The 14,303-nt window shown below is 50.8% G+C and overlaps 1 protein-coding gene across 17 annotated transcripts in view; it reads left to right on the top strand.

The window, feature by feature from the left end:
- PKM (pyruvate kinase M1/2) overlaps positions 1 to 13,250 on the top strand; it is a 32,563-nt gene extending 19,313 nt beyond the window's left edge. For 9 of the 17 annotated variants that reach the window (XM_005254445.6, NM_002654.6, NM_001206798.3 and 6 more), the window contains 8 exons: positions 1,801 to 1,932; positions 2,420 to 2,606; positions 3,388 to 3,658; positions 5,002 to 5,152; positions 5,399 to 5,551; positions 9,659 to 9,825; positions 11,624 to 11,805; positions 12,523 to 13,250. In XM_005254445.6, the coding sequence (XP_005254502.1) occupies positions 1,801 to 1,932; positions 2,420 to 2,606; positions 3,388 to 3,658; positions 5,002 to 5,152; positions 5,399 to 5,551; positions 9,659 to 9,825; positions 11,624 to 11,805; positions 12,523 to 12,629 (1,350 nt within the window). In that variant the 3' untranslated portion in view covers positions 12,630 to 13,250. Of the gene's footprint in view, positions 1 to 1,800; positions 1,933 to 2,419; positions 2,607 to 3,387; positions 3,659 to 5,001; positions 5,153 to 5,398; positions 5,552 to 9,090; positions 9,258 to 9,658; positions 9,826 to 11,623; positions 11,806 to 12,522 lie in introns of all 17 variants that reach the window. The other 8 variants (NM_182471.4, NM_182470.4, NM_001316318.2 and 5 more) reach the window with 2 other exon arrangements.

Genomic DNA, 14,303 nt, shown 5'->3' with positions numbered 1-14,303 from the left:
GTTGTCAATCTCTTGATCTCATGATCCACCCGCCTTGGCCTTCCAAAGTGTTTAGATGACAGGTGTGAGCCACCGCGCCCAGCCTCTATTCTATTCTATTTTGTTCTATTTCTATTACAAGCCAGTAAGCAAGAAAATATCATAATTTATAAGGAACCCTATAAAAAACAGACAAGCCAAGGGTCTGTCATTAGGAAGTATGCCTGAATAAGAAGCTGAAGATTTTTAGACACAGGTTTCAGGCAACACTGTCTTTAGAGGCTAGGCTCTGGCTCCAGCTCCCTCCAGCCTCCTGTGAATAACAGGCAGGCTTACTTGCAGGTGCCACTTTCCTGGACAGTGGTGGTTAAAGGACAAGGCCCAGAAAGTGCTGAATTAGGTGCCCTTGTTACCGCTAATGTCTTATTGATGACACTATCTTAGAGCTCTTTTGACATCTTGGCTCTGCGTCTTTTTTTTTTTTTTTTCTTGAGATAGGGTGTTGCTTTGTTATCCAGGCCGGAGTGCAGTGGTGTGATCATGGCTCACTGTAGCCTTGACCTCCTAGACATAACCCACCTCAGCCTCACAAGTAGCTGGGACCCCAGGCACGCACCATCATGCACAGTTAATTTTTGTGTTTTTTGTAGAGACGAGGTTTCGCCATGTTGCCCAGGCTCATCTCAAACTCCTGGCCCAAACTGTCCTCCCACCTTAGCCTCCCAAAGTGTTTGGTTTATAGGCATGAGCCACTGTGCTTAGCCTGAGTCCCTCTTTTAAACAAACAAAATGGTAAATGGAAAGGAGGAAAGGCTTAAGAAAAAAGATTGAAGCCAGGATTTGTTGTAAGCAAGGAGTAATAAAGGGCAGTTCATTTAGAGAAAGGCATATGACCACCTTTCCCCCTCCAATCAGAATCTAGAAAGTGATTGAGGCCGGGCGCAGTGGCTCACGCCTGTAATCCCAGCACTTTGGGAGGCCGAGGTGGGCGGATCACGAGATCAGGAGATCGAGACCATCCTGGCTAACATGGTGAAACCCCGTCTCTACTAAAAATCGAAGAAGTTAGCCAGGCGTGGTGGTGGGCGCCTGCAGTCCCAGCTACTCGGGAGGCTGAGAGGCAGGAGAATGGCGTGAACCTGGGAGGTGGAGCTTGCAGTGAGCCTAGATAGTGCCACTGCACTCCAGCCTGGGCGACAGAGCAAGACTCTGTCTCAAAAAAAAAAAAAACAAAGCGATTGAGAAAATCAGGTCTGTGTGACCTTAGCAATGAGTTATTTAGCTTGGGCCACTGTTAGCTTAAGTCAATAACTTCAAGTTTGCGTTGTAGTTGGAATCAATAGAGGAAAAGCTCTCAGCATTACCACATATATCAGAATGTGACATTGATTGCCAGACCAGCCTTATCCAAACACAAGTCCTAGGCTTTTTGCCCTGTTTATGAGCTTTATATGCTGAGGGTATTTGATGAGTCTTAGGGAAAAAAGAACAGCCCTGGGGACACAGCTGCTTTTATGATGAGACATGTTTGCACCCATACCTTAATGGGTTTTGGTGGCAATATTCTGAAATTTGCCACCTACATTTCAAAGATTTGCCCTTTGGGTGAATTAGTGCTGTAGTAGAAGTGGGTGGAGGCTGAGGAGGTTGGATTAAGCAGGTAGAGGATTTCTCAGTGCATGGATCGTGCTGAGGATGGAGATAGAGCTCTAAGACATCCACGGGCCTTTCCTGAGTGATCAGCTTTGGCTCCTGGGCAGGGGAATTGGAGCTGGATTCTAGTGTGGGAGCACGCTTGTCATCTTCCTTCTTTTCCCCCAGTACCATGCGGAGACCATCAAGAATGTGCGCACAGCCACGGAAAGCTTTGCTTCTGACCCCATCCTCTACCGGCCCGTTGCTGTGGCTCTAGACACTAAAGGACCTGAGATCCGAACTGGGCTCATCAAGGGCGTGAGTATTCTGCGGAGAGCGAGGGGAAGGCTCAGTAGGCAATATGCCCCAGAGACATGTCCTCCAAAGCGCTGGGTTGCCATGTTTCTTCCCAGTACTATGAAGGACTGCAGAGGAGTTGAGGTCTACAAATGAGGATTTATTCATCACTGTAAACAATGTTGATTTGATCTACTTTGCTAGGAAATGGTACCACAAAGGAACCTTTTTTTTTTACCCTAAAAACCTAAACTTTAGGCTTTCTAACTTGGAGAACCATCTCTTTGTATCTTTTTCCCCATCATTAAGTAGCATAACTGAAACATATTCTTTTCTTGGATTATTTCCGTGAAGTATACAGAGTTAGAGAATAAGAGCAAAAAACTGTATTACTTTTAGCAGTGACTTGAGCATTGTTCCCGGGAGGAAAGAGCTTTTCCATTCCTTCTGAGGTGATGCTGCTACTGGTGTCTCCAGTTTGGACTCTTGCTTACTCTCTTGTCCCTAGAGCGGCACTGCAGAGGTGGAGCTGAAGAAGGGAGCCACTCTCAAAATCACGCTGGATAACGCCTACATGGAAAAGTGTGACGAGAACATCCTGTGGCTGGACTACAAGAACATCTGCAAGGTGGTGGAAGTGGGCAGCAAGATCTACGTGGATGATGGGCTTATTTCTCTCCAGGTGAAGCAGAAAGGTACGTATGGGAGCTGGAGTCCAGTTGTCTAAAACAGTCTTTTGTCTCTAAACTTCCTTGACACAAGGAAGATGGGAAGGTTGGTTGCCTGGCAGTGAGATTGAGTCTGTGTGTTCTCAGGAATCCCTTTTATAACTCATTTATCCTCAAAGATAGGCTTTAATCCAGCATAGTTACATTCTTCTGGTTCTGGAGAACACAGGAACATACATACATATATATATATATATACATATATATATATATATATATATATATATATATATATATATATATTTGTTTCGCTGTGTTTTGTTTTGTTTTCAAGACAGAGTCTCGCTCTGTTGCCCAGGCTGGAGTGCAGTGGCATGATCTTGGCTCACTGCAACCTCTGCCTCCAGAGTTCTAGCTATTCTCCTACCTCAGCCTCCTGAGTAGCTGGGATTACAGGCACCCGCCACCACACCCGGCTAATTTTTTTGTATTTTTAGTAGAGATGGCGTTTTGCCATGTTGGCCAGGCTGGTCTCAAACTCCTGACCTCAGGTGATCTGCCTGCCTTGGCCTCCCAAAGTCAGAACAGTCTTAATTATCCTTATTTATGGGTGAGGAAAGTGAGGTACAGAGAGGTTAAATGGCTTGCCCAGGATTACACAGTGTAGTAGGTTTTCAACTCTGGTAAAACAGCTCCAGCACCCATAATGCACCACTTCCCAGCTCACTGTCCTTGCGGGAAAGGTGCCTGCTTCCTGTTGACCTGTGCCCTCGTGCTCTGCCTCCCCTACTTACCCTTTTTCATACAGGTGCCGACTTCCTGGTGACGGAGGTGGAAAATGGTGGCTCCTTGGGCAGCAAGAAGGGTGTGAACCTTCCTGGGGCTGCTGTGGACTTGCCTGCTGTGTCGGAGAAGGACATCCAGGATCTGAAGTTTGGGGTCGAGCAGGATGTTGATATGGTGTTTGCGTCATTCATCCGCAAGGCATCTGATGTCCATGAAGTTAGGAAGGTCCTGGGAGAGAAGGGAAAGAACATCAAGATTATCAGCAAAATCGAGAATCATGAGGGGGTTCGGAGGCAAGTCCCCGTTGTCCCTGCTCCAGTCCCAGCGCAGCTCTCCGAAGGGCATGGTCCATCCTGTGAATGTCTGATTCCCAGCCCCTAGCCCATCAGAATGTAGACTCCCAAGCCAGTTCCAAACCTGCTGAATCAGAATATCTTAGGAGAGTAGAAGGCATTATGTTTTTTTGTTTTTGTTTTTTTGTTTTTTTTAAAAAAAAGCTTCCCAGGTAATTGAGATGCTGGCAGCTTGACATTGTTCCCTGGGCCTGGGGACCAACATTTGAGAGAACAGGGTCACTGCTCACAGGACCAGGGGCCATGATGTTCTGTTCCTGATCAGAAACACTACCAGTGTTTGCTGGAATGGGGGGACCAGGGGGAAAGATGACAGCAGACACTTAAGAAAGGGCTCTTTTTGGCCCTTCCTGGGGAGCCATGTGGAATTTCAGGGCCTGGTGTCCATGTTAAAGCTTATGGCCTCCTGGTCTTCACTTAGAATGCAGCTGGCTCAGTGATCATGCTAACTCTGGTATGGTCCATTCCACTCTCAGAGGAAGATGTGTGGTTCTTCTCCAGTTTCAGATTGCCCCAACTTAGCTTACCCCCTCCCCAATGCTCACAAAGTAGAGCCCAGTGGGCATGGCCACCATTTTTGGCATCCTGCTAGGAATACAACTCAGCACAACTAAGATGCTAGACACACTCTTGTGGATTAGAAGTGTGTTTGGGGAGGGTGGGGGAGCAACCCTGTGCACCCACTGTAGTGGCCTTACTGTCTGAGCTTTGTGTAGATATCCTCTGTACCAGGCAATTTGGGGTCCTCCCCTTTGCCATCCTGATAAGCCATAGGCTAGCTGAACTTGGCCCTAGGCCAGGCAAAGCCACATTCCCTCTTGCCTTCAGCAGGTTGGAGTGGGCCACCTCAAAGGGCAGTCCTCAAGTGTCCTTGACTAGATGAGGCCATGGGTCTTTGTGGTGGAAGCAGTCATCAGGCCTCAGGTTCCCTGTCTTGAAGTGCTGATTGGAAAATGGAGGCCCTAGAGAGACCCCTAACATGCATGGGATTTGGAGAGGAGACCTTGGGAATGAGCCCATTTGGATTTGCCCTCTCCCCTTTCTTCCGTCAATGAAGCATCCATATTGGTGTTGAAGCCCAGCAGGCAGAATTGTTGGCCCACTCTGGGGGCCTAAGGTAGCTGGACTGCCTTGCCATCTGTGTGCACCCATGATGATATCATGGATGTCTGTCCTGGTACAAGGACATCTAAGTTAGGGAATCCCAGGGAAACTTCTTGTCTACTGCCATACTTGTGGCCTCTGTTCTATATAACCTCTCTCCCCCCAACTTTGTCCATCAGGTTTGATGAAATCCTGGAGGCCAGTGATGGGATCATGGTGGCTCGTGGTGATCTAGGCATTGAGATTCCTGCAGAGAAGGTCTTCCTTGCTCAGAAGATGATGATTGGACGGTGCAACCGAGCTGGGAAGCCTGTCATCTGTGCTACTCAGGCATGTGCCCACCCTTCCCCACATTCTCATGTGCACACTCGCATGTTTGTATGGGAAAGCTCTGGAGGCTGTCTGATCTCTTCCCATGGAATTGTCGCACGTAACACACAGATAATCCCCTTCCCCCATGTACCTACACAAAGCCATACTCTGTGTACCTACTCACTATCCAGAGGATCAGCTTGCTGTCATTTGTCTCTGAAGACAGCTCAAGCTACATCTCACTAATGCTCTGTCCCCTCCCAGATGCTGGAGAGCATGATCAAGAAGCCCCGCCCCACTCGGGCTGAAGGCAGTGATGTGGCCAATGCAGTCCTGGATGGAGCCGACTGCATCATGCTGTCTGGAGAAACAGCCAAAGGGGACTATCCTCTGGAGGCTGTGCGCATGCAGCACCTGGTGAGTTCTGGGGCCTGCCCCATCCCCCAGGGCTTCGGACTGGGCCTGGGATGGATGCAAGCTCTGGTGCAGAGCTTTTTAGGTTTCTCCATCCTCTTATGCACAGCCTTTCATTATCCTCCAAGTTACAGCAGCAAGAGGGTGGGGGTGGAAGTGGAGGTGGCTTTTTTTTTTCTCCTGTTCTGCATTCCTGCCCACACCCCCACCCCTCCATTTCCTTCTGCTCTGGAGGCATCCTCCTTCATTGGACACCACACAGTTTATTTCACTTCTGACTTCAAGGTTGTGAATTCTTCCCATGGCTTAAGTCCTGGGATACTTCTGCAGTGAAAGGAGGTCTTGTACCTCTTCCTCAGAGTCAGAAGTTCTGAGTACCTTTGCCCTATTCTGAAAAGGGCTAGGGGCTCCTGCTCCCAGCTGCCCTCTTCCTTTGGCTTCCAATTCAGTTCCCTCTGCCCCGCATCCTGCAGACAGGCGCTCCCGCAGGGGGCCCTTGTGGACCTGCACTGGAGTCTGTTGCCTTCACTGAGCTGCCTGTGCTGGCCTTGCATGGTGCCTGTAGGGGGATTTGCTTTGCTGTGCCATTGGGGTACAGCTGCTGCTCTTACTCTAGACCAAAAAGTCGGGTTGAGTGACTGGTGGCAGGGCCACAGATAGAGACAGCGGGGAGGGTGGCTGACCCTGGCGGCCCTGGACTGAGCGTCTGGAGGAGTCGTGGAGGCTCTTTCCCTTCTTTCTCCTCTGAGAGCTCGTTCTTCAGGCTCTTCCAGCTTGTCATGTCGAGTGCCTGGCCACTGCTCAGGGTTGGAGGCTCAGTCCCTTTGCCCTGTCTGTTCCAGCTCTGGAGCTAACTCAGGGATCCCTGATCAGGGTTACATAGGTTTGGTAAAATGAGTGCTGGAAATTAACTTTCTCCCAGTAGTCTTAGGTCATGCTCAGTGAACTTAAACTTTATCCAGATATGGTTTTCCTTCAGCCTTTCTATTCCCTTTCTAGCCAGTGAAAGACCCGCTGCCCTTTGACCTCAGCCCCTCCAAGCCCCCAAGTTTAAAACGCCACCCCCTGCCACCAGAAAAAACAGAAAAAAAAAAAAAAAAAAAAAACTAAAACACCCATCTGGTCTGGGCATCTTCCTTTCCTTTTTCACTATGTATCCTGTTACTGGGCTTAAACAGCTTTCAGAGAAGAGATGTCATTTCTATTAAATGCTCTTTCAGTAGCGAACTGAGTTCACACTTGACTAAGGATATTTTCCGGACTGTCTGTCATCAGCATCCTTAGTGGGTTTCCCCATATTTAAATTGGTAGAGGCCAGGGATGGTGGCTCACACCTGTAATCTCAGTACTTTGGGAGGCCAAGGTAGGTGGATTGCTTGAGCTCAGAAGACCAGCCTGGGCAACCTGGTGAAACCCTGTCTCTACTAAAAATTCAAGTTAGCTAGCTGGGCATGGTGATGCACTTCTGTAGTCCCAGCTACTTGGAGAGGGGGTGATGCTGGGGCAGCAGGATCGCTTGAACCCAGGAGGTTGAGGTTGCAGTGAGCCAAGATGGTACCAGCCTAGGTGACAAAGTGACACCCTGTCTCAAAAAAGAAACCAAACAAACATAAAAAAAAAAACAAAAAAATCGGTAGAGAGTGATTTCTCTCCCAGGCCCACTTAATGTAGACTGGGCCTGGCTGACACCTCACCATTCGTGTGATGTGATTGCTGTTCTGATGCTTAGATACTCTTGGCGCAGTCTCACAATTGCCACCATGGTAGGAAGGTGTCCCAGGAGACGGTGCACCTTGAACCAGTCACCACTAAAGTGGCTGCCTTTCTGGGTCTCTCCACACATCCCCTCTCTCTAATTTCCCTACTTAATCGTGTGACTTCATGGTCTCAAAGGAGGAACAGAGGCTGATCTTGACTTAGATATACTGAACCATGAAATCACTGCATAGAATGTGGGGACTTGAATGTGTCTTTGGGCAAGTCATTTAACCTCTTAAGACCTCATCTGTAAAATGGATTAGATATGTTTAATTATAGCCTTAGCATTAAATATTCATTGCTGTTATTATTAAGTGTCTGATAAGTCTCTGTGTACATGGATGTAATCTTCCTAACTCCCATTACCTCCATTTATAGATGAGGGTTATATGGCCAATAAAGCCTGGGTTTGAATCTAGGTCTACTGCCTCCAAAGCCAGTCTTCTCTCCTGCAACATCATGCTCTGTCTAGCAGGAGATGAGAACAGGTCTCCATTTGGAGCCTGTCAGTGGGGTCAGAGACTAAGATTCAGGCTCAGGGTCTAAATTCCATATCCTTTCTTCCATACCCTGGTGTTTCCTATGAACAGATAGATACTTTAGGGCTGCAAGGTTTGGATTGCATGGCACTGCTCAGAAGATAAGTTACAGGTCTGGGCTAGGCTGTAGCTGCCCCTCCAGGTGGCTAGACCTTTCCTTTCTGTGTCACCAGTTAACACTGGCCAACAGTTCCTTCCATTAACTGTTCACTGCTTTCTCCTGTGTCTAACTGATGCAGTTTATGACCCATAACTAAGAGCAGTACCAGGTATGGCTCTGTTTCCTGTTCATGTCCCCTGTCCTCTGGGCTGCATGCATTCCGTTCTTACAGAAAGAATACCTTTAACCTAGTACATCCTGCCACACATCTGCTTCTACTGTGAAATTGATGAGGGGGTATTACCGATTCTTCCCTCACCCATCATTTACTGAGATGCTGGTGATTGCATTATAATCCTCTAAAGCTTACATTGTCTTTCTGATTCTTGGTCTTATCTGAGCAAGTGATCTATAAATAACTCAGTGGCTTTCTCATGACTGTTTTAATTATTAGATTTTAATCAAGTGTCTTATTAAATATATCTGCATGCTTCCACAGGCATCTGTCTCTTCACATGGCTGTTCAGTGTGCCTCTCACAAGTTAGCCCACGTTTTCTGTTCTCCTGCTTCAAACTCAGTTGAGCTGCCTTGCTTTGGCTTTGATCCCAGCTTTCCAGCGCTGCTCAATCTGTTGCCATGGCAGGCCATTGGAAAGGCTCAGTGCATCCCCGTGCCTGAAGCCAAGTGAGCGCTCACTCCATGCATGCATGGAGGCTGGGCAGGAGCCTGCCTAATCAACCAGCCATGTGAGGAGGGAGGGCCTGTTCCTTCCTGTAAGCTATGTCATGAGGCAGCGTGGTCAAGTCCTCTGCCAGGGAGTGGCCTGGGCCCAGCCTGGGCATGTTTTCATGCCAGGGTGCTAGAGCCTACTGCCAGATTGTCTCCCTCCACCCCCAATGAAAAAATCCTTCCAGAAGGGAAGAGCCAATTTCCCCTGTATTGGAGGGGAAGTGGCAGCACCTCCTGAAGCAGTTGGACTTTCATCACCCTACCTCTGCATCTGCCTGAAGGACAGATTTAGCCAATTAACCTAAGGTTACCTTCCTCTCTGATAAATTCCCCATTCTGTCTTCCCATGTGTTGTGTCTCGTTTTTTTCCTCCTCCTTCCCTCTTCCTTGCCCCCTCTTCCCCTAAACCTTACAGATAGCTCGTGAGGCTGAGGCAGCCATGTTCCACCGCAAGCTGTTTGAAGAACTTGTGCGAGCCTCAAGTCACTCCACAGACCTCATGGAAGCCATGGCCATGGGCAGCGTGGAGGCTTCTTATAAGTGTTTAGCAGCAGCTTTGATAGTTCTGACGGAGTCTGGCAGGTAGGGCCCTAAGGGCAGGTAACACTGTTAGGATAACCAGCCTCTTGCTCCACCTGCTCTAGGAGAAGACAGCCAGGCCCAACCTGGCATCTGGGCACAGAGCCTCTTCTCGTCTGTAGGAACACCGCCAGGGAGGTCATGGCAGGGCAGGACCAAAGGGTCCTGTGGCTCAGTAGGCACAGTAGATGTCACAGGCACTTGGTGAAGGACTGGTTTCTGTGGAGTCTTGATCTTGGCTCAGCTCAGAATCTCCAGTGATTGGGCTCCTCTTGGCCTTTGTTCCCAGGAACATGTTCCTCACCAGCTGTCCGGTGACTCTTCCCCTCCCTCTCCTTTTGTGACAAAGCTCTGACAAAGCTCTGTCCCCCTCTCGTCCCTCTGGACGGATGTTGCTCCCCTAGATTGCCCGTGAGGCAGAGGCTGCCATCTACCACTTGCAATTATTTGAGGAACTCCGCCGCCTGGCGCCCATTACCAGCGACCCCACAGAAGCCACCGCCGTGGGTGCCGTGGAGGCCTCCTTCAAGTGCTGCAGTGGGGCCATAATCGTCCTCACCAAGTCTGGCAGGTAGGAGGCGGCAGCGGCTCCCTGGAATGCCCTGCTCAGTGGTACCTCACCTTGGGGGTCCTGGGAGCAGTCCATTGAACAATGCTCAGGTGGCACTGAGCCAAGGTAAGACCCCTCTGCCTGCCACCTTGGGCCTGCAGGGAAGGATTGAGCAGAGCCCCTTCCCTGGGCCCAAAGGACTCTAGGTAGCACTCATAAGGAATGTCAGAACATTTGGATCAAAAGCAAATTTATGCTGGAGATTTATTACATAACAGTGCACAGGCTGACTACAAATGGTTATTTGATATTGAAAATTTAGTCCTCTAAAATTGTAAAAGATAACCACTTTTGCTTATTCCAGTTACTATGTGCTCTTTAAAAATTTCAGTTGGGAAATGAATTTATTTAAATGCTGTTTACTGTGCCTCCATTTGGCACACTAGTCCCTGCTGTTTTTGAGCCCTAAAGACAAATTGGGTTCCAGCTCAGGAGAGGTTGCTGTGCTATCTTGGCTGACATTCTGTGGGGCCTGGCAGCCAGGCTGAGGACTGTGTGGCCTATGCTGGGCCTCCAACTTGGGATCCCTTCCTTGGCCCAGGACATTGAGTTAATGTCCTTCACTCTCCTAGTTAGGGAGTATGCTCCTTGTCCCTGTCCACAGGGCAGCAAGGGTTTCCTGGAAGAGGGGAGCAAACAGGCAGTGCCCATGCACTGAGGAGCAGCAGATGGGCGTGGGCAGCCCAGAGAACCAGGACACAAGCTCTGTGCAGATGCCCTCAGCAGAGGGCTCCAGCCTCCCACTCTTGGCTGAACAGCTCCAACCCGTAGGGTTGACCTTTCTTAAAAGGTCCAGTTCTTGCTGTTTGGCTATTTTAAGCTCTAGTCTTCTGGGGTTTCACTCAGCTGGTCCTGGCTTCAGCAATTGCTTCCCTCTGAAGGCCTTGCATAGAGGCCAAGCGTGAAGTGCAGGGACTTCTCTGCTGTGATGTGGCTTAAGTTTCCCTGACACCTGTTGAGTGTCCTCATAACTTCCCTTCTGGTGCCCCTCCCCAGCTCCTGAGACACAGCTGCAGCTACAAGTGTGCAGTGTCAGTGTTCAAGAAAGTGCCTGGCAGAGGGGCTTTAGAAGGGTCCCCTGCCTTCCAAAGGAGCTTTGGCAGGCAGAGCTGCTCCTGCAGCAACACTCCCATTTCCTGTTCTTGCCTGCTGAGTAGCACCTAGATTTCTAAGCCTCATCTAGATACTCAGATTTGATTCTGGGCCTTTATAGCCCAGTTGCTGGGACTGTTTCAGGAGCTAGGGGCCATGTGGGGCAGGGAGAGGGCACAAAAGTAGAGAAGCCTGATGTTGATTCCCAGGGGGCTGGTCAGCTCTGCTACTGCTCCTTGCAGATGTCAAGAGTCAGGTGCTAGTCACGTGCTGCTTGGCTTGTCACTGTCATTGGCAGCGAGAGGAATGGGTGCTGGTGACATTGGGCCAGGGCTGCCTCTCTGTGTCAGAGTTCAGGGTGTAGGAGGGGTTCTGCCAACCATGGGCTGTGTGGGGTAAGTGGGTGAGGCTGATCTTGCTGGGTCAAGGTGATCCTGAGCCCTTGGCCTGTGGAATGGGGGTAGAGGGCAAATGGTAACCTAGCATGCTGTGGGGGATATAGGATGAGGGGCTGCCCGAGCCTCGGGAGGGGTCCTAGGGAGCAGATGTTGAAGAGGCCAGAGCCCTCAGTGAGCTGGATGAGAGGGTGAGCTGTTTGAACGCCCTGAGGGTACTTCCTGGGGCCTCGTGTAATGGTCTCTTCTGTATGTCCCCCATCCCATCTCAGGTCTGCTCACCAGGTGGCCAGATACCGCCCACGTGCCCCCATCATTGCTGTGACCCGGAATCCCCAGACAGCTCGTCAGGCCCACCTGTACCGTGGCATCTTCCCTGTGCTGTGCAAGGACCCAGTCCAGGAGGCCTGGGCTGAGGACGTGGACCTCCGGGTGAACTTTGCCATGAATGTTGGTACGTGGCTGGAGCAGGGGCTAGAGCCTAGAGGAGCTTGGGGATGCTTGAGCATTGGCTTCTGTGGGACCCCGAAAGTTTGGGGAATAGAAAGGGGAACACACAGACCTTAGTGGGGCAAAAGGCCCAGCGACTGTTCCTCTCCCTTATTGGGAATGTTCATTCTGAATCTCTCATTCTCCGAAGTCCTAAGCTGAGCCAGGAGGGAAAAGGGTCCTTTGAGTTGTAGGGCTGAGCAATTCAGTTCCTCTTCTCTTCTAGTCTGGGGCTCAAAGCAAAATTGTCCATTTTTTGGCATCTGCTCATTACTGAGAGTTTTTTTTGTTTTTTGTTTTTTTTTTAAATAAAATTGGCCACAGCTCCTGTGCTGTGGGGTGGCATACACAGATTACGTACTGATGTGGCCATTGTCCCTGTATAAGGTAGGGTATCATCAGATGACAGGAAGCAGCTAGCTCTGACCCTGGGCAAGGCTTTGCACCCTCTCCAGGATAGTGAATGATGTCCAAAGGTCCCTGCCAACCCTGCCATCTGAGTGATAAGGACATTTCAGGGCCTTCCTCCTGTTTGCCTGGGCTGTGAGTTTGGTGCCACCTTGTGGTGTGAGGAAGTAGTGGTCAGCCAGCCTAGTTCAGTACTCAGGCTATGGGGCAGCTGCCCAGGTGCAAACCTGCCTGGCTTGGCTTTTACTCACCAACCTCCCTTCTCTTCCTCCAGGCAAGGCCCGAGGCTTCTTCAAGAAGGGAGATGTGGTCATTGTGCTGACCGGATGGCGCCCTGGCTCCGGCTTCACCAACACCATGCGTGTTGTTCCTGTGCCGTGATGGACCCCAGAGCCCCTCCTCCAGCCCCTGTCCCACCCCCTTCCCCCAGCCCATCCATTAGGCCAGCAACGCTTGTAGAACTCACTCTGGGCTGTAACGTGGCACTGGTAGGTTGGGACACCAGGGAAGAAGATCAACGCCTCACTGAAACATGGCTGTGTTTGCAGCCTGCTCTAGTGGGACAGCCCAGAGCCTGGCTGCCCATCATGTGGCCCCACCCAATCAAGGGAAGAAGGAGGAATGCTGGACTGGAGGCCCCTGGAGCCAGATGGCAAGAGGGTGACAGCTTCCTTTCCTGTGTGTACTCTGTCCAGTTCCTTTAGAAAAAATGGATGCCCAGAGGACTCCCAACCCTGGCTTGGGGTCAAGAAACAGCCAGCAAGAGTTAGGGGCCTTAGGGCACTGGGCTGTTGTTCCATTGAAGCCGACTCTGGCCCTGGCCCTTACTTGCTTCTCTAGCTCTCTAGGCCTCTCCAGTTTGCACCTGTCCCCACCCTCCACTCAGCTGTCCTGCAGCAAACACTCCACCCTCCACCTTCCATTTTCCCCCACTACTGCAGCACCTCCAGGCCTGTTGCTATAGAGCCTACCTGTATGTCAATAAACAACAGCTGAAGCACCTGTTTCCTCTCTTTTCTGCTGGGGAGGGGGAGGTGGTTGAACCCTGCCCTCTGAGCAGGCTGGGAATGGCTGCAGCCTCGTGCCCCGCAGTGGGAGCTATGGTGGTGTCACCTGCCATCCTGCCCACCTCCTGGTGCAGAGGCGCTGGGAAAGCAGTAGCTTACTATCTTAGGGTTACAGGTTGCCCCCTTCAGTGCTGCGGGGAGACTTTAATGGCTTACGTGAACCGAAGATGGGAAAGAGCAGGGACAAGGCCTCCCTCCCACTCTGGTAGATAAACCCAAATTGCAAAGTGGCCTTGGCCATGGTTCTTCCACTTTGGTCTTCCTGCATTAGCGTATCCCTTATGGGGGCTGTAGGAGGAGTCAGCTCTGGGCGCCTGAGACTGGGTTTGGCTCCCAGGTCCTCAGTTGTGGACCTAGGCTCCCCTTGGGACCCCTCCTGTTTGCTGGTGCCCTCCCACCATGATGCTGTAGTGCCAAAGGGCTGGGGGAGAGAGTTGGGAATGGGACCAAATCTGGCCTGCGCTTTTCCTCTCCCCTGACCACACTCCCAAGGACCAAGTGTCCTGGTGGGGATGGAAGAGGAAAGGGCCTGCAGGCCAGGCAAAAGCTCATTGTCACACTGAGCGCACGTGCCTCTGCTTCCCTGCCTTTGATTTGTGTCCACCTTCAGCCCCTTTGCAGACTCCTCCAAAAGTGTATTTCCTTGGAGAAACTGCAATGTTAACTCCGGCAAAAGTGCGTGGGAGCATCCTGGCTCCCGGGTTCGTGGTGGTGACTTGGCTGTCAGACCATGGTGTTCAATATCCCCTTTGGTGTTCCCCACTGACGGTAAAATTGAAACTTATCCGGAGCTCTATGTTGGGAAGGGTTAGGTTGGAGAGGGGCCGGAATTGGTTCCTGCAGAGGGACCCAAGCCGCAAGACTAGGACGACAGAAGCGTCCAGAGGGGACACAATACCCTCGACGTGAGGGACAGGAGGTGCCGCGCCAGGCCCTGGCCTCCGGGACCTCCCAGTCCGGGGAACCGAGCGCTAGGATCTGCTCAGAG

Source organism: Homo sapiens, chromosome 15 (genome assembly GCF_000001405.40).
Source record: "Homo sapiens chromosome 15, GRCh38.p14 Primary Assembly".
In the NCBI taxonomy this organism is placed as follows: domain Eukaryota; kingdom Metazoa; phylum Chordata; class Mammalia; order Primates; family Hominidae; genus Homo; species Homo sapiens.
This window is presented reverse-complemented; position numbering and strand designations above follow the sequence as displayed.